At 48.4% G+C, this 24,398-nt stretch overlaps 1 protein-coding gene and 1 long non-coding RNA gene across 58 annotated transcripts in view; one reads left to right on the forward strand and one right to left on the reverse strand.

Moving 5' to 3' along the window:
• KCNMA1 (potassium calcium-activated channel subfamily M alpha 1) overlaps positions 1–18,537 on the reverse strand; it is a 768,207-nt gene extending 749,670 nt beyond the window's left edge. For 53 of the 57 annotated variants that reach the window (XR_007061964.1, NM_001271518.2, XM_017016222.3 and 50 more), the window contains exon 1: positions 17,994–18,537. Coding sequence is in view for 56 of the 57 variants with exons in the window: in NM_001271518.2 (NP_001258447.1) it covers positions 17,994–18,371 (378 nt within the window). In the remaining variant the exon portion in view is untranslated. Of the gene's footprint in view, positions 1–14,838; positions 17,736–17,993 lie in introns of those variants that run through there. The other 4 variants (NM_001322839.2, NM_001271522.2, NM_001271521.2 and 1 more) reach the window with 4 other exon arrangements.
• Positions 479–1,766, forward strand: LOC124902465 (uncharacterized). Its single transcript, XR_007062206.1, has 2 exons — positions 479–568; positions 749–1,766. It is a non-coding gene; the product is annotated as an uncharacterized LOC124902465 (long non-coding RNA).

Genomic DNA, 24,398 nt, shown 5'->3' on the forward strand with positions numbered 1-24,398 from the left:
ACACATATGCGTGGTGCCCCAGTAGTGTCTCTCTGTCTGTCTGTCTCTCTCTCTCTCTCTCTCTCTCTCTCTCTCGTATGCCCACGCACATGCTTCCTCTCACTCTCGCTCTTCCCCCTGTAGTGGCCAACTTCCCTAAGAAGTAGCATTCCCAGATAACAAATGAACTGCCAGGGTTCTTCCAACATAGCCTCAGAAGTCACATAGCATCATTTCCACCACAATCCATGGGTTACAAGCAACCCATGGATTACAGGGGCTAGCTCTGCCCCAAAGGGTACAACCCAAGAGGATGAACGTGAGGAGTCGTGGTTCACTGAGGGCCTGCTTTGATGACCAGCCACCACATTGAGCGACCCCTGGTCACTGCCCTCTAGGACCACCTGCCAGGCACAGATCCAGAAAGAAACCAGGACCAGCCCTGTCCACAAGGAGCTGTCTGCAGAGGAGACAGGATGCCTGTATAGAAAATAGGGCTGCAGCATCAGACGGCTGCTCCCCACCCAGGATGGAAGGACAAACAGAGAGGACGCATCAGGGAAGGGAGAGGCAGAGAAAGCTGACTAGGGTAGGTAGAGAAGGCTTCCCAGGAAGGCGGCATTCCCAGCAAGATGAGCTAAGACTTGGAGGATGGAGGAGGTGGAGGGTTGGAAGGGAAGGAGTAGGCCATCACTGGGGCCACCCCCAGCCTTCTATCACATTTGGATCACTATGGACCACGCCAGGTCATCTCCGCTTTTCCCAGCAGGGATGTTGATCAGACCTGGGCACTCTGCAGTGATGATCAGCAGCTCAAGAGCAAGGGTGGCTCCTGACCGTGAGGGGTCAGCACCAGGCCCACAAGCCTGTCTGTTGCACCAGTGCCCAGGAGGGGCTGTCGACTGCAGAACTGTTTTCTCTGGCTCGACCTCACCCAGAACCAGCGGCAGAAAGGCCAGTTATGCAACCATCCTCACCACAGCCTGCCAGCCTCAGAGGCTGGGCCTGGCCGCCGGGCCTGGCCGCCAGGCCTGGTAAGGAGACTGCTGTGGCCTGCACAGCACAAGGCCATCCTGGGCCCCAACTGCCACTTTCCATGCAGGTGCAAGACGCTCTGCTGACAAATACCTGGGGAAAGCAGGAGCTGTGGGAGGGAGGTAAAAATAGCACAGTTGGCAACAGAGAAGGCTTTTCTAAGTCCTCAGGGTCCTATTAGTCCTTGTCCATGGGATACACATGAGCTGGCACTGAGCATTCTCTCTTCTCCAAGGCTCATGCTTAGAACAGGCACAGAGGCCTGGGAGGCCTCTTGTATCATGTCAGGAGCTGCACAGTGATCAGAAGTTAGGGAGAGCGCCTGTTGCAGAGGCTGGATTTGGAGGATATGCTGGGGCTGCCGTCATAACCCCACATCCCCAGTGGGTTCTCTCTGGCCACTCCCTCTACGGCCAGTTCTGTTTTCTCCCCATTTTTGGAAACCCAAATTCTTGATGTTTCTGTTATTCACATTGCCATTAAGAATTATGGGCTTTGCACTGTGTTTTTAATTTGTTGTGTAAGGGTTTTACACAAACACAGCTAGATGCCTAGAAAAGACAATGTATATGGGCATGCAGGCTGTGCACTGCACAACTCCAGAGGGCTTCATTCATGACCAGGATGTGAGTGGCGCCCTGGAATCATGCAATGTGGTTACCGGTATTGCCAGAGAGGAAATGATGTCTTACATGACCCCATATCCCCGGGAAAAGGCCAGCCATGCTAATAAAGATTTGCTAACTAACCAATTTGTCTCCTGCTTCCAAATATTCCATGCACGGGGTTTGGCAGGCACACGGCCACAATGCGCAATGGCCTAGAAAGAGAGCCATATTGAAATATAATAATGTATTTCCAGGCCACGGAGGTGGAGAGGCACAAGGAATTGATCTTTCTAAGGCAAGGAAGATTCATAACCACTGAATGAGTTAACCACTACCTTCTTCTGAGTGTGCAGATTAAATTCTCTGTCGCACCAACATCCAAGTGCGCTAAATTTTAACAGACCTGGAATTTGGATATATTTATTTCTCTTTCACAGAATTCCCATTCTTTTACTAACACAGTTTCAGAGTTTGAGATATGAGCATATCTCATGTGGGATAATAAGGCATCATTCCACACCAGGTTGCACAGGCCCATGGTTTAATGATGAGACTTCGCTGGTGGGTGCAAACTTTGCTGGTCCCCCATGCTCTCTTGAATCTGTGTGCATCTCACACATACGTACATGTACACACACACACACACACACACACCCCTCTCTCAAGTTTTTAAAAACCTACTTAAATTCTGCATCCTACCTCCAATATACTCTGTGTACAGTGTAAGTGTTAATACCAAAAATAGTGTTTTTCTGCTGGGCACAGTGGCTCACGCCTGTAATTCCAGCACTTTGGGGGCCGAGGCAGGTGGACCACTTGAGCTCAAGAGTTAGAGACCAGCCTGGGCAACATGGCGAAACTCCATCTCCACCAAAAATACAAAAAATTAGCCAGGCATGATGGTGCATGCCTGTAGTCACATGCCTGCAAGTCCCAGCTACTCAGGAGGCTGAGGTGGGAGATTGCTTGAGCCCAGGAGGTGGAGGTTTTAGAGAAAAATAGTGTTTTTCTCCAAAACTTCATGGAAGACTGTTGACACTCAGAAAAATGACCCAATATTGATTCTGTGCCTCCACATACCCCCCAGCACAGAGATGTGGCACATGTGCTGTGGTTCATAAAATACATTTATATGTCATCTGATGTGAATCTCATAGCAGTCCTGGAGTTGTACATTGAGTAACCTGCATGACTGTATATAGCCCACTGCCTGTCAGGTAGAGAAAAGGTGATTATCCCATTTTCCAGCAAGAAAAACTAAGACTCAGGGAATGTAATAGAACTAGACAACATTTAAGGTTCCTTCTCATCCTGGGAATTGACATACCTGAGAATTCAGTAGTACAAAACTCTCTGAACTTGTCAAGGGACCTCACATCTCTCCAGGAACAACACACCACTCCTCTTTTCAGTCCTGTCTATGTCATCAGAGTTTCCCTCACACTGTGGCCAGGAAGAGCTAAGGAGGTATAAATGAGGTGTACAGTGTGGGATTAGGTGCATGGGATCCACAGCCCACCTGCCTGGATTTAAACTGGCTCTGCTCCTCACCTGTGTGTGACCCTGAGCAGTTACTCAACCTCTCTGTGCCTCAGTTTTCTAATCCATAAGTGAGGATAATAATACCACCGAATTCACTGGGTTGTTGTGAGGATTATATAATACATATAGTTTAAAAACAACCAGACACACAGTAATCACTCAAAGTTTGTTATCCAAAAAAAGAAAAACATTCTCATTCTCTATGCATCCATTTTCTAACCTGTAAAATGGGAATTTAAAAGGGGACTACATCACAGGATTGTTTTGAGGATTAAATAACAGAATAAACATAAGGAGCTTAAAACAATGCTTAATGCATAGAAGCCACTCAAACAAGTTTGTTCTGATTTTTTTTCCCCTAAGAAAATAGTAACTCCAATTCCCACAGAAAGACTTCCCAAAACAAAAGTACCAATAAGTCTGAAAATAAATGCAAGACCTGAGGAGGAATCATTGCTGTTTTCTAAAACCAGTGATAGACAGGCTATCTTAGAGACCGGAGGTTCTTGCTTTACATTCATTTTCTGAGGTCAGGAAGTAAAAAGGAACATGGGTGAACAGGCACTGGTGAGATGAGGAAGAAAGAACAGGAACATCTCAGTTGCTAGTTTCTGTTTTCACCATGAAAATCATTTTAAAGCCCTGCCTAGAATTTAAATAGCATCATCCCTGGAGATAGCTGTTTTAGTTTCATTACAGTCTGTGTTCGTAGAGTACAAATAGAAACCTTCGTGATTTTATTAGTTTCCATGCAACTTAGGAGAGATTTGCATGATAACATTTCATCTCCTGACTTTAAAAAGGGACCAATTAAAAATACAGCACTTGCATTGCCTGTCACGGGAAAATGAAAAGGTTCACAGAGTTTTAAAAACCTCTGCCATATCTAGTCCATGGTCATAAATCAAGTATTCAGTACTACGGTGGCAATCACTATTGTCTAAATTTTTAGTTTATTTTGTAAGAAGTACTTGGAACAGCTGGGTGCAGTGGCTCACACCTGTAATCCCAGCACTCTGGGAGGCCGAGGCAGGTGGAGTACTTGAGATCAGGAGTTCAAGACCAGCCTGGCCAACACGGTAAAACCCCATCTCTACTAAAAATACAAAAAAAAAAAATTAGCTGTTCATGATGGTGCATGTCTGTAATCCCAGTTACGTGGGAGGCTGAGGCAGGAGAATTGCTTGAACCCAGGAGACAAAGGTTGAGGTGAGCCGAGATCGTGACACTGCACCCTAGCCTGGACGACAGACCAAGACTCCGTCTCAAAAAAAAAAAAAGAAAGAAAGAATATTTGCAGGATGTTTGCACCCCTGAAAAGAGTTAAACTATAGTACAGAAGAAACAAAATGTACAAGTAAGTATTTTTGCCTGGATTGCAGCAAGTCCTACACAATTACCAACACCCCAAAGCTACCTGGTACTCTGTGGATTTGTGAAGTGTTAATGTAATGTATCTGTGACAAGTTAAAATTTAATGCATGGCTCCGGTAGCATAATCGAATCGATGTTATGTAACCTAAGAGAACTATTCCAGTAAGTTCTGATGTGCTGGCTGCTTACGGTTCAGGGGGAGTTTTTTTCGGAGGTTACTGAGTATTTAGGAATCATCCCTTCAGACACTTGCTCTTTTGCCACAGAAGCTGCAGTTATCTTATCCCTGCTTTCGGCAGCTGGAATGCTCCGTGGAACAGGGCTGAGATGAACGTTCTATCTCCAAGGCTGCGTTTTGGGGCAAGTTAAGGAAAAGGATCAAAGTAAGTTGATTTGCATGACCTTCTCTTTAATCAGATGTTTCTTTTTATGTTCAACCTCAACAAAGCCAGCCTATCATAGCACACTATTTATAGTCTATAATCTAAGATGTTCTGAACCATTCCCCCACACCAAAAATTAAAATTAAAACCTCAATAGTGGTGTGGCTATATCATTAGAAGTAATAGTAGAGTCACAAAAACCTATTTCTGAGACTTTTTTTTTAAATGACAGGTTTGATGGTATTTCCAATGGGGCCTGTGTCCCTAGATTGTAATTCTTAAATATGTCATCAAAGTCAATATTGAAGTTCTGGGGACAAGTCAATCAAATTTCACTCTTGTGTTTTATAGTAGAACAAGAACTTCTCCCTGGATTCACTGCCCTCAATAACTTAATCTTTGGTTCTTTATCAGGTAAAAATGATAGTTTTAAAATCTGACTTAAGAAATGGCTTTATATTGAAATCATGAAATCAGAGAATTTGTTATATGCATGAGAAAACTAAGGCCTGGAGCCTATGACTTGTCTAAGACACTGTAGCTAGTCACTTGTCATATGTCAAAATCAAAAATCCGGCGCTCCCTTAACTTCACTCTAAGAGTAGACACCATTAAACCAGACCCCACAGGCAGAAAGAGGGTTGTTCTCTTCATTTGTCTGCTCTCAATGTGGGCAGGGCCTACATCAAAGTCAGCCTGGGTGCTTCTAGAGGGGCTGCAATCTTTAGAGGAAGAATATCAGCTGCCCACCGAGAAAACAAGAACGCCACCGTAAAGAACATGTCAGGGAAGGAAATGTGCCCAAAGATAATGCTGGTCATCTCCTGGAGGGGGAATTTGGAGGAATGTTTTTCCCTTTTCTCAAATGTTTATTTATAATTGTGGTGAAATACACAGAAGACAAAAATGTACCATCTTAGGCTGGGCACAGTGGCTCACGCCTGTAATCCCAGCACTTTGGGAGGCTGAGGCGGGCGGATCACGAGATCAGGAGATCCAGACCATGGTGAAACCCCGTCTCTACTAAAAATACAAAAAGTTAGCTGGGCGTGGTGGTGGGCGCCTGTAGTCCCAGCTACTCCGGAGGCTGAGGCAGGAGAATGGCTTGAACCTGGGAGGCGGAGCTTGCAGTGAGCCGAGATCATGCCACTGCACTCCAGCCTGGGCGACAGAGCGAGACTCTGCCAAAAAAAAAAGTACCATCTCAACCATTTTTAAGTGTGTAGTACTTCACACTTAAAAATGTGCATGTTTCACATTGTTGTGCATCCCATCTCCAGAACTTTTTCATCTTACAAAACTGAAACCCTATACCCATTAAACACTTCCCTCCCTCTGGCCCTGGAAACTACCCTTCTACTTTCTGTTTCTATGAGTTTGGCAACTCTATGTACCTCATGTAAGTGGAAGTTATCCTTTTGTGACTGGCTTATTTCATTTGGCTGATGTCCTCGATGTTCATCTATGTGGTAGCACGTGTCAGACTTGCCTTCCTTTTTAAAGTTGAATAATACTCTGTTGTATGTACCTACCACAATTCGCTAATCTATTCATCTGTGAATGAACCCTTGAATTGCTTCCACCTTTGGCCATTGTAAATAATGCTGCTGTGAACATGGGTGTACAAATATCTCCTTAAGACCCTGCTTTTAAGTTTTTTGGATATCTAACCAGAAGTGGAATTGCTGGATTATATGATAATTGAATGATTAATTTGTTTTGAGAAACTGCCATACTGCTTTCCACCGCATCTGTACCACTTTGCATTCCCACAAACACTGCACAAGGGTTCCAATTTCTCCACATCCTCACCAACACTGGTGATTTTCTATTTTTTTTTTTTTACAGTAGCCATCCTAACAGATGTGACTGTGTCCTTTTTGTTTAATGCCCCTGCACGGCCTACGTTTTCTACAATGAACATGTAGTATATTTGGGATTAAGGACAAAATATAAAATACTGAAGTTAAAAAGTAAATCCTATGGAGAAAACAGGGTTGTGAAAGAACTTAAGAAATGATTGGGTTTTTTTTTTTTAGACTGAGGCAAACTGTTGAGCCCTCTTGTGGGCTCAGCTAGAGACATCATTCCTATACTCTTCAAGAATCTACCACCTGATCGGCTGTGGCTGCCACAAGCCACAGGAGAAACGGCCATAATTCATGGGCAGCTGAAATAATTCCTCTAAGCTCTGGGAGGAAAGTGTTCCCAGATGCAGGAAGGAGAACAACAATGTATATTAAGCTGTTGCCAGCTAATGTTGGTCATAAAAATCCCTAGCACTTGGGTAAGGCCTTTCATCTTCCAAATCTTTCCTCCAAGCCTTAGAACACTTATCTCTGAGTTCTCCATTTGAATAACTGGAGGCCCATTTTTCCCCTTCCAGAGCCACAAAGGGTCCACTTTCCAAAACCACATAAAGAGAAAACAACGTCAATGTGGCAACTTCTCCCAAAGAGGAGCAGAATTCTGCTCTTGGTTAACAAGCACACAAAGAACATCTCCCACAAACCCTTCCAACGCTTCACCTCTGAGCCACACAGGCCGCGTGCTATCAGTTCATTCCACAGAATGTCTCGTTTGAAGAGCTAAAATTTTCCAAACGTGAACTCATTCTACCCACTGGTAGAATGCTTTACTCCTTGGAGGTGAAGTCATTTGACATGATTTATTCATTAAGACAAAGGTGAGGTAACTAAAACCAAAATCCATCCAATTAGCTATTTATCCAACCTCTAACTCTCAGAGGAGAAATTCTTTTTTCCTTGGTGTCAACCTCTCCCTCTACCTCCTGCCCTCCCTCACCTTCTTCCTTTGTGTGTTTTGCTCTCTTTTCTTTTCTGGTTTCTTTCTGTTCAGCAAAATAGGGGAGATGACAGCAGAGGCATACAGGAGCCCCAGAGGAAAGGAGACCCAATGAGCAGGTGGGAAAGAAACAGCCTCCTATTCTAAGAAGCGGCTGTATTCAAGTGATGCAAAAAGAGGTTCAAGAGCACTGTCTGTCTCCCTAGGTGAAAAAGAGTCAACACCTAGAAAATGGAATCCAACTCGAGTTTCCTAACAAAGGCTCTGTACCCTACATCCAAATTCTTGGCAGGGCCCCCAAATTACAACCCCCACGTGAAACTGAGAAGGGGGCTAAACCTTGGAGATACAAGGCACGTGACATTGATAAGGAGGTGAATTTATGGCCCAGCAACAGTCAAAAGCCTCCAGTCACAGCTGCTGACAAGACCGAAGAGACCTCAGAAGGCAAACTTCAAGAAACAACCAGAATGGGTCGTTTTCTGAACTCTGGGCAAAGGGGCAAAGGGAAACCACACTGTCTCAGGAGGACGAAGAACCCAGGGAAGCCATCAGGGAGAAAAATAAAGTGGCCTTCATGGAGGAAACACAAGTTAAGGTTAAGGTCATTCTACGTCTCAACACTGCGGACATGGAAACACCACCCAGCTCTGTCCCTTCCTGAACTGGATTTAGAATTTGAAATCTACCATCCACCAAGGCTTGTTCTGCATGTCCCAGACACAGACTAGAAGCAAACAAGGACTAGTGCAAACAGAAAGATCTTTCCAAGTTCATCGTAAGGTGGGTTTGTCCCCAGTGGAATAGTGGCCTCAGGAGATCATAAACACACTGGTAGGGTGGGCTTCCAGCACTGGGGAGGAATCGCACAGGGCCTGAGGCCCCAAAGCTTCCTTCCACCACTGTGAATTTATAGTTCCATGCGCTTCTGCACTTGTTAAATCAGGTCGCTATTTGTTGTCTACTAATCTACAAACCTGAAGCCCCCAGCCAGCAGAGGCCACTCTCGATCCCACCCCCCAGCCCCAGTTCACTCCCAAAGATGAAGACAGAGAGGACTGTCCAGTCTCTAAAAGGGAAGAAGGAGCAAGAACAAGACATGGAACCAGAAAATAAAATAAATACTCATCTTATACTCCCAACTTGAAATGCACATACAGGCAGCCCAACAGCCTGTAGATAATTTGGTTTACAATGATATGCAAAGATGCAGACCCATCGTGGCTGAATAGTTTCGTACAGTTAGAAGTGACCCTGGAAAGAATATTACTGACAGTCTTGCCTTAAAAACTCTTTTGCAAAAGACATCATGGTCCCAGACTTCAGCAGTTAACAGATGGAAATTAACTTCACTTCAAGTCAAAAACCTAAAATCTCGCCGGGCGCGGTGGCTCATGCCTGTAATCCCAGCACTTTGGGAGGCCAAGGCGGGTGGATCATTTGAGGTCAGGAGTTCAAGACCAGCCTGACTGACATGGTGAAATCCCGTCTCCATTAAAAATACAAAAATTAGCCAGGCATGGGGCATGAGAACCTGGAATGCCAGGTACTCAGGAGGCACTAGAACCCTGGAGGGAGAGGTTACAGTGAGCCGAGATCATGCCACTGCACTCCAGCCTGCCAGCCTGGGCAACACAGCAAGACGGTATCTCAAAAAAAAAAAAAAATCTAAAATCCTATTTTTCCTTTTTAAAAAAACACCCCTTCCCCAAGTAAAAGTCAACTCTGATAATGGGGAGATCTACATAATGTTTACCTTAATTACTTCTTCCCCAAATTGAAGTATTCCTCCCTATTGTGCTAGAAACCAAAATTAAACAGCACCAACTTTCCACAGAAACCCTCAGGAATGACAGCCACTAAGGAAAAAAGGATGTAAAAGAAAGGATGGAGCAAGAGGAGGAGGGGGAGAAGGCTGGAATTCAGGCTTTCCTGTGAATTCGCTTTGAAATGCCTAGAGGCCACTGGATCTGAGTCCCCAAGAAAATCTGGTAGAGAGGCCAGTGAACCAGCATAAAGAATAGAAAATAAAGGAGATGTGTTAAATAATTTTGATTTTGGCCACGTGAAGAAGTATTAGTCATACAGGTAACAAGATCTTACAGGGAGATGATTCCAAGGCTCGGCTTGACAACGTTAAGTGTATATCCATTCTGGGCCTGGAGTGCCAATTACATTTCCAAATTGGCAATTAGACACAATGTCCCAAGACAATCACCAAATAATGCCAAAAACAAAGCAAGTTCCATCTTAAAGCAGCCATTCTTTTGAAACTGCCCTTCCCTCCCGTGCCTGACTCATCCACCTCACAAACAACTGCCCATTATGAACTAAATCCTTGTTAGCTACTGATCAAGAGAAACCAGGTGGCATGAATAATTAAAATCCACGAATGATTCAAGCACCATGTTGTCAACAAACCAAGCCCATCTCTTTCACCAGGAGTTTCTCCATAGCATCTAACAAATTACCCAAAAAAGCAGGAAAATATATTTGCCACCCCCAACCAATGCATTCTCGTTCAGCCCCCAGCTAACTACTGGAAAGAGCCTTCCAACATCTACGTGTGTTTACATTTGCATGACTCAGTTCCTGCCCTCAAGGAGTTTGCAGGCAATTCAGAGATCAGATGTTCATATTCCATGAGAAGATAACTGTTTTTTCCTCTGCTCAGCCTGTCAAGTACTAATAAAAGCCCTAACAAGCAGGGAGTCAGAACTGGGTCTTAATTATTTTTCCCCCAGCACCTAGCTTGGTTTCTGGCACATCGTATACACTTAATATGCAACAAAAGCAAAAACAACAACAATAATTATAACCAGAAGACTTCTTTGAGGGCCTACTGTGTGCAGGCCGCCACGATGCTAGGTCCTTCTTCATTCTGCCTGCTGCAGACACTCATGGTGCTCCCCTCTGATGATGAAACAACATAAAAAGCACATCTCATGGAAAAAGTCCCTGACAGTGTGAGCTGTGAAAAACCCTGGTATGGTGAGAAAAGGAGCTACTTTCACTTTCATCTTCTGGAATTCTTAAGAAGTGCATTGGAGGGCCACACAGCACGGTGCCACGCGTGTCCCCCAGTCACTCCACGGGCAGCTCTTCAGCCAATTCTTTGAGGTTGAACCCTCCATTTGGGAAGGCCCACCCAGGCCCCTACAGAAAATCAGGCTGGCAGTCTTAATGCCCACTGACTTCAAACACTCCAGAGGGAGTGGTCCCCAGCCAGCCTGGGGCATCACCGCAGTGCAGCCCTGGTGACACCACCAGCCTTTAATTTTGCAAGGAGGTAGTTTGGCTGGGTTGCCCTCCTGGACTTCGGGAAGTCACACCCTTTGCAGAATGACCAACTGGCACGAGGAAGAGCCCACACATTGGTGGGTAACACACAGACCACACCCTGTAAACACTGCTCTGGCCACCACAACCCAACCCTAAATCCACAACGCTGATGGGTTCCTTAGGAGCAGGCACCTGGACCATCAGTTTTCGCAAATAAGAGCCCAGCCCGAACCACAGCTACCCTGGTCTGAAAGGAGTTTTCTCCACCCAACGATCTGGCAGAGCAAACCTTCTGCTTCTCATCCCTTCCCCCTTCAAGAGCTGGGAATTTCCACATTTAAAAATAAGCCTGTCTTCAGGGATGGACTGCACGGAGGCTGAGGGATGGACCAGATCCTTGATACTCAAAGTGTGGTCTGCACAGCATCAGTATAGCCTGTGTCTCGCCAGACCAGCATAATCTCAGGTCCCACACTGGATCTTCTGAATCACAGCCTGCATTTTAACAGCTCTCGGTGATTCCTGAGCATATTAAAGTTTGACTAAGCCAGGCACAGTGGCTCACACCACTGTGGGAGCACTTTGGGAGACCAAGATGGGAAGATCACTTGAACCCAGGAGTTCAAGACAAGCCTGGGCAACATAGGGAGACCCCATCTCTGTAAAAAATTTAAAACCTAGCCAGGTGTGGTGGCACACACCCATAAGTCTTGGCTACTTGGGGAGCTGAGGCAAGAGGATCACTTGAGCCTGGGAGGTTGAAGCTGCAGTGAGCAGTGATCATGCCACTGTACTCCAGCCTGGGCAACAGAGTGAGACCCTGTCCCAAAAAAAAAAAAAAAAAAAAAAAGTTTGAGAAGCCCAGGCCTAGAGACACTCTCCAGTCCTTGGAGATAAAGATGTGATATTCCCACTGAACATTCCCCAGGTTTTCTGTCCAAAGTGCTAGGACACCCTTGCCTCCGAGGGTCCCTGGGTTTCCTTTTCTAGGTGCCTAATGCGTGGGGTTCCACCCACCCAAGAAGCAGTTCTAAAAGAGACATCCTTGGTCTGCTCCCTGACTGTGCACAGAAAGGCATGGCCCTGTCTGATCCCCAGGGATGTCTCCAAGGGACCCAGTGTTCCCCACACGGCCCAGGGCCTGGCATCACAGCACAAACAGCCCTTTCACTGGAACCACAAAGGCGACCTTCCAGGGGATCTGCAGCTTGGCAAGGTGGTATTGGCTGCTGTGATTCACAGATTAGCATGGTCACTGCCAGTGTGAGCCGGGACGCCCACTTTGGGAAGGAGGTCCTGGCATTGCAATCGAATGCCAATGTAACTGTTTCTGCACCAGGCCTCTCATGCCCTGATGAGAGAGAGAGAAAGAGAGAGACAGCCCCAAAGCAAGCACTTACTCCTGGCTATCAGCCACCAATGAATGTCCCCATCCAGGGAACAAAATAGCTGTGAGGCAAAGAGAAGGTCCATTTGGACTTACCATTGGAATGCTTTATCCCCCAGGCCAAACAGCAGGGGGCAGGCAGCTCTTCTTTTCCTCCTGTTGTATGTTTGGTCAAGTTTCCTGGGCACCTAGAAGCAGGGCTAGCCCAAGGCTCCCAAAGGGAGGCCATAGGTTCTCAGTGTCCTCCTAGGAAATGCTATAAAATGGGGTTGGTGAAAAAAACCACCCCATGAGGCTGTGCTCTATCACAGACCTCAATTTGCAGGTGAGGAAACTGAGGCACAAAGGCATGACGTCTTTGCCCAGGATCACAGGCTGAACCTTGGGCACTGCACAGCACCCCTGACACTGAAGCAAGACTGCTCACAGGTAGCACATTTGAGGGCATTTTAACCACTTTCTCTACCAGCAGGATGCCGCCAAGCCTGTGATGTGGCCCTCCAAAGGGGAAGCTCAGCCACGCCATGCCTGCTGATTTTTTTTCACAAGGTAATTTAAAAGGCAGGTGTGCCACAGAACACACTTGGGGAAACCTGGCCTAGGGGGTGTCTTGGAAAAGCTGGTCTGGGTAGACAGTGAGTGTCCTGGCCAAGAGACCGTGACATCACTTGGGAGACAGGTCTATGAGTTCTGGACTTGGGATAACAGGGATGGAATTTGTCCCTCCTCAAGGGTACAATGCTGGACAACCATACCTGCCCACCAAATGCCACAGTGTTTCCCTTCTGCCAGCCCAGCAGCTCCTGGTCCCCCATACTGTCGATGTTCGTCCACTGATACCCCACCATCAAAACTGTAACCATCCTGCCAGGACCCCATCCGTGAAGCCTACCTCTGCTGCCCTGCCCTAACTTTCCAGCCTTGCAACAGCCAAGAGCCATAAGCCCATGTCTCAGTCTGACTCTAAATGGTTTTTTGATCTATGACAGTATACTTCAGGATCTAAAGCCTCCTTTTGGCTCAAAAACTTTATTTGTTATAGTCTGCGCCCTTCAGGGGCTATAAGTTCAATGAATCAAAGGGAAAATAAACTCAGCACTTCATGAAGCTATGATAGTTACCACTTACAAGAGGCCTGCTAAGTGTCTGGCATTTGCAGGGTGCTATGTGCCCATTATTCCTGCTCCCTATAAGAACCCTACAAAGTAAGCATCAGTATGCTCTTGGTATAGGTGATGTAACCAAAGCTCAACATGGTTGGCAGTCAAAGATGCCCTGCTAATAAATGTGAGATCCATGATTTGAACTTGGGTTTGCCTGATTGCAGAGTCTTGTACTAAAGTGTGCATTTCCATAAAGAGGGCCAGGGGCTGGACGCCGTGCCTCACGCCTGTAATCCCAGCACTTTGGGAGGCCAAGGTGGGCGAATCACAAGGTCAGGAGATCAAGACAATCCTGGCCAATGTGGTGAAACCCCGTCTCTACTTAAAATACAAAAATTAGCCAGGTGTGGCAGCGTGCGCCTGTAGTCCCAGCTACTTGGGAGGCTGAGGCAGGAGAATTGCTTGAACCCAGGAGGCGCAGGCTGCAGTGAGCCAAGATCGTGCCGCTGCACTCCAGCCTGGGTGACAGAGCGAGACTCCATCTCAAAAAAAAAAATTAATAAAAGGAGAGAGAGAGAGAGCAAGGAATGAGGAGCACGAGCTCTCTGGACAAGGGCAGGTCAGCTGGAGCTCCCCCGTGACTAGGACCCAAGAACTCCTCCAAGGCCACCCCAAGTGATCTGCTCAAAAAGGAGTATCTCAAGGTCATCTGGTGCAGCCAATCCCCAGGACAGGATGAGATGAGGCACAAGGGCCAATCTGGAATCAAGAGCTCCACGGCACTGAAGCTCCAGCCCTGATTGACTGCGTCAGGCCAGACCCTGGGTAATTACCAAGCTGTAATGGGATCTGATATTTATATTAGTCACGAGCCTGACAGAGAAAACGTGTTGTTTTCTCAGGCACAGCCATGGAGACAACATCTCGATAATTCATTACACGCAGACCATCCTTGATCAAGCCCAAGCTTCTACAAGGCCAACAGCTCAAACTGAGAATGGAAATAACTCTATGCCCAGCCACACTCAGGCCCCTCAACAAACCACAGCTCCAACAGGAAGTTGGCCTCAGTTTCCCCAGTTATTTAAAGAGAAGTAGACCACATGCTGGAAGACGAGCAGAAGATGGAAATAAAGATATGTAACTGTCCCAAGGCTGAATTCCTAAAGGAATTGCTAGGGAACTGCAAAACACATTCTGAGCTAGAAACTTTAACCCTCATTCCTCAACTCCTCCCTCTCTCCTATATCGAATCACAGAGCAGGAAGGGACATTAGAACTCACAGAATTCAATCCCCACATTTTATACACAAGGAAAGATAGACACCAGAGAGGTTAAATAACTTCTTCAAAGTCATGGCTTTATTCAGGCTACCAGAGCAGCTCCCTATTCAATATAGTCTATGACAGGATTGAACTTCACAACGTCACACCCAAGTGAATAGAGAGCTCTGATGAAATCCCACAAGGAAAAAAACAATAATGTGAAAAAGTACAGCAAAGAACACAGTACTGGAATGACTGTGACCAAGTTCCCAACAGGAGGAAATTGTAATGTTTTCTTCTTCACTTTCTGAAAAAGTCCACATGCCACTCTTTTCAAAAGACTAAAGTCATTCACTGTTTGAGATTCAGAGGCCAAAGGTACTAATGAAGAGATGTCCCACGATGCATGTCCACAGTCTTGGGTTCCTTTGATCAAAAAGGTTTGGTGCGATCCCAGAGACCAAACGCTCATGAAATTGGAGCTCCTTGCTGAATTTTATCTCCCACAGAATTTCAGACCTGCTTTCCTCTGGACTCCAGCTCTTGATCAAACCATCTTGGGGCTGAAGGAGGGTGAGGGTGAACCCATCTGAGGGCTGGTAGAATTTTCTGGAAAGGCAGCCTATGTTTTCTTGGGAAATCTAGCACAAAAATTATTATTCTAAGCTTAAGCCAAATACATGCCTGTGTATCGAGTCTTGACAAAACTACCAAATACTTGGAAAGAAAAAAGAAAAAAAGACAAACACACACACACACACACACACACACACACACACAATTGCAATAAAAATACAGACCTCAAGCATAGAAAGAAAAGCTTTTAAAAGGCCTAACTTACCGTTACTGCATATAATGAGCTGGCTACCTATGGCTTAAGTGAGCAAATCTAGGGGCAGGTATCAAGAGATTCTAGGTGTGCTTTAAAATGGACTTACGGTATCAAAAGGAACCTGCACTCATTCTATACTGGCCTCACATCTTCCAAACAAACCACCATCACCTCTCATCCCTGGCAGATTTCTTACAGCAACTCACTTCCAGTTATGTCCACTCAGCAGGTCTTGGGGCTACAAAACATAGCCAAATATTTACGAATTGTTTTTTCTAATCGTTGCCAAAAACCTATTTTCTTGAGTAAACTGACAGAAGTTATGCTTGCTCATCATTTAGGAGATCCTTTGTGTGTGCGATGGGATTAGCATTTCATTACAGACACTGCAATTGCATTTATGTACCCCCTAACATAAAAAGACTTTGGAAGCTGTGTTTAGGACCCCAGGTTCACAAAAACACCACAACTTATTTTCAATCATGGAAAAAGTTTTCATTATGATAAAAATTGCCCCCTGCCTGAAAGAAAGCAAGCTGTTAAAAAGTTCACCCAGATCACTCTATCTAGGGAACATTTCAGAGGCACACAACTATGAGCTATCTTTCCCCTAAAGACAGTCGCTGAATCTCAGTAAACCGGGGAACAAAATTCCCGAGACTGTTGGGGGAGGTGGAGGAGAAGGATGGAGAGAGGGAATGTGGGAATTTGAAGGCTCCAGGAATAAGCTGTTCTCAGCAGGAAGGCTAGTCAGGGATCTGGTGTATAGGGCTTTGCTTAACCTGAGGGCTTCTCTGGAAGGTGGGAGGTTTGCCTCCTTAACAAATAAGAAGAAACCTCTACGGCTGAGAAGGTAATTCCAAAGAAAACTCTCCGACCAGCACCTGCAGGCCTCCGGAGAAGCCAGAGAATGACGAAGAGAATGATGGTTTTCATATTTCTCCCTTTGTTCCAATACACCAGTATTTTCCAAAACACAAATGTGCTGCCACAAAACACAGCTGAGCTCCAGCACCCAACAGGATGTATAATTAATGATCAGGAGAGACAGGCTCCTTCCCCCCTGGTGTTTTCATAGCCAGCCTTCACCCATAGCCCCAGGCTTCCCTACTTCTCTCAGCCGCCAAGGAGGCTGCTACAAGTTGCTGTGCCCTGTAGAAGTTTGAGGGGTCCTCGGTTTAACTTTACTAGAAAAGATGTGAACATGTGGAGGCTGCAATGTGTATCTACCCTGCACTATTCCCCTGGATTTCCCTTCCCTCCAAAACGGTTCGCGCGTGAAGTCCCCTAGGATGGGAATTACTCAGAAAGAAGGCAGCTGGCTCACTCTCTTTTTTCCAGTTCTTTCTTTTTTATTCTGCAGTTTTCTATCAGTGTCGGGTCCCCCACTCCAGCCAGTGGCTGTGGGGAAGGGAAGACATCTCTAGGGACACGACTACAGACCAGGCAGTGAGCCTAGCAACCATACATCGAAGGTGTCGCCAGCCTCAGTGCCGGTGGGCGTCTGCACCAGGAATAGCTAAAGCCGACGACATCTAGCCACCTCGAGCGCCAGGGAAGACGCTCCGCGTAAAACCGCGGCCTCAGGCGGACTCCCGCTCCAGCTCCGCGCTGCTGGTGGCATTTCCGGGGACCCAAAGTGGGTGGCCTGGGGGCAAAGGAACAGAGGCCGAAGAACTTGGGGTATGTTCCACTAGAGCACCTAAGGGACGGAGTGGGAGGTTACATCAGATATGCGACCTCGACACATTCCAAAAGTGGCAGCCCCGTGGGCTACCCCCAATAGTGGGATGGATCTCCCCAACTTCTCTCGCCCCTCGAAGTCCCCCTGTTATCTCGGGCCATGCTCCTCCCCCGGGATTCCCTTGTGCAAAATTATTCTCTCCCTTGCCCAAAGGATTTTTCCCTTCTTTCTGACCCCACGAACTCATCTCCCCAACAGGTTCCTAAAGTATGGGCGGATGTGCTCCCTCTCGCCCACCGCCAGGAGCCGAGCCCCGGCAGGTGAGCGGTGCAAAACACGCACCCAGCTGCCCCCAGCTTCCTCCGTCCCCGCTGAGTTGGCTGTCCCCACCCCGCACCACGGCACCCGAGCCTGTGAGTCCCCGACCCCGGCCCCAGCCGCAGCCGCCAACAACCCTACAATAAACAAGAGGACAGGATTGAGCGTCCGCGTCCCGGAGCGCACTGGCTGGGGGCAACTCCTCACCCCCGGCGCGCCGCCCGCTGCCCCGATCCGAGAGCACCGGGAGAGCCGAGGGAAGGGAAGGCGGCGAGGGGAAGGCAGGCGGGGATGGAGGGAGGCACGGCGCGGCGCGGAGCGAGGAGGTGGGCTGCAGGGGACGCCGAGAAGCGGTGGGGCTGGCGCAGAGGGCGGGCGCCCGGGGCGCGCGTTACCTTCGTCTTGCCCCCGCAGTGGCAGCACACGGTCCACAGGTACTTGAGCGTCCGCCAGAGCAAGATGATGAAGAGGCCCCCGAAGAAAGTCACCATGGAGGAGGCCAGGAAAGCCCACCACATGCGTTGGCCCCGGCTGTCGCACGGCACCTCCATGGTCACCGGGATGATGAGCGCATCCATCTTGGGCTCGTGGACCGAGGACGAGGAGGAAGAGGAGGAGGAAGAAGAAGAAGAGGAAGAGGAGGAGGAGGAGGAGGAGGACGCGTCTAGGCTGAGATGGTTCGCGTGGATATTGCTACTCATTCTAAGACTGCTGCCTCCGCCGCCGCCGCCGCCGCCGCTGCTGCCGCCGCCGCCGCCGCCACCATTTGCCATAGCTAGCAACGGGCAGCCGGCGCAGGGGCTCGGGGGAGCTCCTCCCGCCGCCAGCGCCACCCCAAACACCCATCAACAGCCATATTGCTGCTACTGCTGCCGCCGCCGCCGCCGCCGCGGAGCGCGGGAGGGGGGCGGGGAGGCGCCTGGGCTCGGGGCGCTGTGCGCGACCTGGCGGGGTGCGCCGAGATATATACAGCGAGCCGCCGCCGCCCGCCCGGGGGGGAGGGGGATGGAGTGCGCGGGCAGCTCCCCCTCCCCGGCCCGCGCCCCGCTCGCCCCGGGCTGCGCTGGCCCCGAGCGCCGAGAGCCAGGGGGCGCCGCGGGCCGCCCGCGCCCGGGGTCTGCGCCGCCCCCGGGCCCGCCCCGGCTCCGCGCGCGGTCCCGGGTGTCCTCGGCGCCGCGCCGCCCGCCGTGCGCCACGGGTGTGCGCTGCGCTCGGCCGGTGACCCCCTTCCCCGAGCGCCTCCCGCGCGGCTAACGAGCCGCTCTCCGCTTATTAGGTGGTAACTCGTTAATAATGGATAATCGGCCCCCTCCGCCCGGGCGCCCCTGCGCCAGCCCTCCTCCCCCGGCTGCGCTCGGCTCCGGCTCGCCGCGCCAGTGCGCGCCCGGCCGCGGCAGGTTCACCGCGTCCGGCCGCCGGCCCGTGGCCGCCTGCTAGCCCATGTTCTCGGGACCCCCTAGTCCTGTCGCCACGCCGCTGAGCCCCTCGGCCTCCGCTCGCTCTTCCTCCTTGCCGCCTCCGACTCCTCCTCGTCCCCGTCCTCGCCGCCCAAGCCTCTTCGGCGCGCGCCCCGCGCTCCCCGCAGCCGCCAGCAGCAGCAGCTGCAGCAACTGGAGCGGGCGCGGACTCAGGACGACCCAGGCGGGAGGGGAGGAGGCTCGCCGCGCTGGCTCGCCTGGGCTCCGGGCTGGGCAGGGGTGGGCAGGGCCCCTCGGCAGCGGCCCGGCAAGCGCCCCTGACCCCCAGGGCGCAAGGTAGAGCGCCCCCAGCCCAGGCGCGGGGCCAGGCGCCTCTCTCCAAGGTGCTGCGCCCCCAGCCGAGAGCGGTGGGGTACACTGGGAGGACGGCGGGGCGCCCCGGTCAGGCCGTTTTTTTCCCCAAAGAGCCCCCAGTGGGGAGGGGAGGAGTGGCCAGCTGTCAACTGGATTCCACAGGCTGAGCTCCCCAGGACCCTCGGGCTTCGGGAGTGAGGAGGACCCCACGCCAGGATACACACAGCTACCCACCCCTACTTCGCTCTTCCTGCTACCTATGTGCCCAGGGTCCCGCGTGTGGCTGGAGGGTAGAGTCAGGAAGGCCAGCGGGTGGTCTGTGGCCTCTGACAGCAGCAGGTGGTTTCTCTCCTTTTTCCTTATTAGCAACAGAGGCTGCCCAACAAAGAGTAGGCAGAAATGATCAAGGACGACCTGGCCTGGGGATAGTGCAGGCCCCGATAGACAATAGAGTTCCCTGAAGGGTTGCTTTCCTCTCATATAGTCTCAGACTCCATCCATCCCGTGAGGAGGGCAGATGGGGGAAGAGGGACTCCAGACTTCATTCTGGCTCACCGTTCCCCATTTAGGGTCTTCCCTTCTCCCCACTTAAGATGAAGAAGGAGTCCGTGTTTGTTCCGTAGCGTGTCTCCGTACACCACCAGGGGAATCCCCCTTCTGACACTTTCAGAAACTTTGCGCCCCCTGAACAGCGTCCGTCCTCGTGCTACCAGCTGGACCCCAAGTTTTTCCAGCGCTAATTAAATCGAGGATGATCACGCTCTTCCCTCATTGCTGCAGTGGTTTCCCCAAAGTTTCCAGCTCATTAGTTTAAGCCTAATTGGAATTCTCAGGTTCCTTTCAGCTCTTCCCATGGAAAAGGCCCAAGTTAGCATCCTTAGCTTTACACCTGAGGCTGTCTCCGTGAGAGTCAGATCAGCCCTGCCCTTGTCCTTGGAGGTCTCTGGAAGGAAGAGCGAGCAAGGGAGGCTGAGCTGGGCAGAGAGGCTGAAGAGGATGTTTGAAGCTTCTCTCTTGCTTGATTCGGAATACATTCATTGGGTTTAGAGTACACATCCACTAAGAAAGAGTCAAGGCCAAAGTCAAAGGAGAAAATGGAATGAGGTAAGAGTTCTTGAGTATTTGGTTCTCAAAAAGAAGTGTATGTAAAAGGGAGCTGCAGAAAGTGTGCTCCAGAAAATGGAATTGTCTGAGCCTCCTCTCCATACCATCCCATAGTACCTCCAACCTCGGCCTCTGTGTTCAGCCACTCTGAATGCATCCCTGCCACACCAGACCCAAGCATGCAAAGGCCCTGGGCCTTTTCTGGTACTGGGTTGGGGGAGCGGGACCCAGAAGTGCTGTGGGGATGCGCAGGAAGGTGACTATGGCATTGAGGTTCCTTTATTAGCCTCTCAATGGCTGTAGTTTGCTGCTTTTGTGCCTCAGCAATGCCAAGAAAGTTAAGGACATTCCTTAAATCAAGGCCAAGATTTGAAATTTAAAAATAAAACACCCAGAACATAAAAAGGGCAGCAAAGGATAGGACTGTCTCCCCAGTGGGATATGAAACCTCCAGAATGGATTCCCTCACCCACAAAATTGAAATTTTGCAAACCAGCAAATCCCCTCTGGGGCCTTCTTAGACATTCCCTACAGCCTGGATTCCCCTGAAATGCCAGTCTGGGGTCTACTGGTAAGCAGCCGATGGCCGTGACTTCTGTCACCCCAACTGCAGGATCTATAGCTTTTTCTCCTCCATCATCACCTTCATCACCTCAGCATCTTTGGAGAGGGTGCTTGGAGGCCCCTCAGATGCCATCTCCTGCTCTCTTCATCACCCCTGCCTCTGCTGATTGAAGCTTTTAGCAACTTCTGTGCTGTCCAAAGCCTCGGCTTAGTCAGGAATCATCAGAAACTCTCAGTGTTGATGTCAATATCCTTTCCTTCCTACAATCCCCAGTCTCTCACCTCCTCCCTGAATGGCCTGGCTGGTAAGCACTGAGAGAGTGCTACCATCCACCAGAAATAGACATTCCCAGGCCTTTGCCCAGTTCTCTCTGGCCATTTCCACATTGTTCACAAACTTTTGCACCACTTCCAGAAAACTTGGCCCCTGGCATTACAAATTTAGGAAAAGGCTCTGCACAGACAGAACCTCAAACTTAAAAGGAACCTTAGGTATCTTTGATTTGATGTGTTTCTTCATTTATACAATCAAAATAAAGCCAGAAACTTCCCTGCCTACCTCGAAGGGTTATATGTGAGGATGAAAAAGAAGGCTGGGCATGGTAGCTCACTCCTGTAATCCCAGCACTTTGGGAGGCTGAGGCGGTGGGATCACCTGAGGTCAGGAGTTCAAGACCAGCCTGGCAAACGTGGTGAAACCCCATCTCTACTAATAATACAAAAATTAACTGGGCATGGTGGCACATGTCTGTAATCCCAGCTACTCGGGAGGCTGAGGTATAAGAATCGCTTGAACTCGGGAGGCGGAGGTTGCAGTGAGCCGAAATTGCACCACTGCACTCCAGTCTGGATGACAGAGTGAAACTGTCAGAAAGAAGAAAGAAAGAAAAGAAAGAAAAAAGAAAAAGGAAGGAAGGAAATATTATACAGATCTTAACTATAATTACTGTGACCCCAAAAATGGACAGGCAAGTCTAACCAGATCTTCTGACCCCTGAGCTCGTAATTGTATGTGCACATGCCTGCATGTCATGCTGTCCACAGCATGTCCACAGCCAGACTGTGGCCAGACTCCAGGGCACAGCAGAGCCCCTCCAGCCTAAATGAGCTCTCTGACTACCCAACACCACTCCTTTTCTTGCCAGTCCCTGGACAGCCTTGGAAATGGGAAAGGTATAGAGAAGCACTCTAAGCCCAGCACATCTTCCCCTAATGTAGGTGTGTCTGCAGGCTGGAAATTGAGGTCCATTGCACAAGAACTGAAAGTCTCAACAGAAGTAGAAACTTCACCCTCTGTTCTGAAAACACCACGAGCCTTATTTTTATTTCTAAATTCATTCAAAAGCTTCCCAGAGAGAAGGGCAGCCTCTGTACCATGTGCATGTGTGTCTATGGCAGCTCTCAAAGCAAATCAGAGGTTTCAAGCTTAAATATTCTAATCTGAACAGTCCTAACTGATTTAAAAGAAGTAAAAGGAAGTGCATAAACATACATACTAAAAAAGCAGAGTGACTAAGGTAAAAGGAGAACAAAAAAGATTATTTGCTAAAATGTTGGCCAGCATCGCAATTAATGTGCAATGGATTTTCTTTTCCTCCAACCTGGACCTAGTTCCAATACTCTGACATCAATCTTCGCGATTTTGCGATGGAGAAGCCAGGTGGTGACTCTTTAAATGATCTAGCGCCCTCTGGTGGATTTTCCTGGCACATGACATTATTTCATGAATGTTCAAAAAAGGGACTTAATTTAACAGTCTGAAATTTGAGATATGAAAATTCCAAGAGGAAAACCCTGCTGGAAAAAAAAAACTACAGGGAGTAGGAAGGAGGCATGGATCAGGAAGATGTTGGTCCAAGGATACAAAAATTCAGTTATACAGGAGGAATAATTTCAAGAGATCTAATTGTGCAACATGGTGACTACTGTGGATAAACAATGTTTTTTTGTATACTTGAAAACCACTGAGAGATTTTAAGTCTTCTCATCACAGGTAAATGATAAGTATGTGAGGTAATACATGTGTTAATTTACTTAAGTTAGCCATTCCACAATGTATGTGTATTTTGAAACATCATGTACACCATAAACACACTTTTTGTCACTTAAAAAAATAAGAAAAATTGATAAAAAAACAACAAAACCCTACAGCTTCAACAGTATGAATTATCTAGTTACCAGTCCTACCAGCATATAAGCTGTTGTGGATAAAGGCAGCTAACAAAGTTCATGTTATTACTATGACTTGATGTCAGATCTCAACTGTTACTGCCACCAGTAACCCTGCCCTTCCTTGAATCACCACTGTGTTTTCTTTTAAAGTCAGCAGTATCCCTCTTTCTAACCACCCTTGGTCTTCACAGTCTCTTTGTGAAGTAAAAAAGTGCAGTAGTGGCCAGGCGCGGTGGCTCACGCCTGTAATCCCAACACTTTGGGAGGCTGAGGCGGGCAGATCACCTGATGTCAGGAGTTCGAGACCAGCCTGGCCAACATGGCAAAACCCCATCTCCACTAAAAATATAAAAATTGGCTGGGCGCGGTGGCTGACGCCTGTAATCCCAGCACTTTGGGAGGCCAAGGCAGGTGGATCACGAGGTCAGGAGATCAAGACCATCCTGGCTAACACAGTGAAACCCTGTCTCTACTAAAAATACAAAAAATTAGCCGGGCGTGGTGGTGGATGCCTGTAGTCCCAGCTACTTGGGAGGCTGAGGCAGGAGAATGGTGTGAACCCGGGAGGCAGAGCTTGCAGTGAGCCGAGATTGCGCCACTGCACTCCAGCCTGGGCGACAGAGCGAGACTCCATCTCAAAAAAAAAAAAAAAAAATAGCTGGATGTGGTGGCGCATGCCTGTAAGCCCAGCTACTCAGGAGGCTGAGGCAGGAGAATTGCTTGAACTGGGGAGATGGAGGTTGCAGTGAGTCAAGATCGCACCACTGTACTCCAACTGGCAACAGAGCGAGACTCTGTCTCAAAAAAAAAAAAAAAAAAGGCTGTAGCTATTTTCCCACTTTACAGGTGAGAAAACTGAGGCTTAGCTCTGCCAGGTTACTTGGCACGACAAGGAAAGTCTGTTACCTCTGAAGTGATTTATCTGTTTGTAATTTATAATGCTGGAGAGTGGGACTTACAGAACAAGCTTTCACATGCTTACATTTTTATAGATATTTATTTTATATTTACTTCTGCTTGTAAGAATAATTCATATGTATTATAAACTTTGGAATATAAAAGTTTCATATAAGCTTCAAGTCAGTGACAAGAAAAAAGAATATGTCACATAGAATCTTACCACCCCAAAATAACCACTATTAATATTTTTATATATTTATCTCATACCTTTTCCTTGGGTGTGTATTT

The sequence above is a fragment of the Homo sapiens genome, chromosome 10 (genome assembly GCF_000001405.40).
Source record: "Homo sapiens chromosome 10, GRCh38.p14 Primary Assembly".
Taxonomy (NCBI): Eukaryota; Metazoa; Chordata; class Mammalia; order Primates; family Hominidae; genus Homo; species Homo sapiens.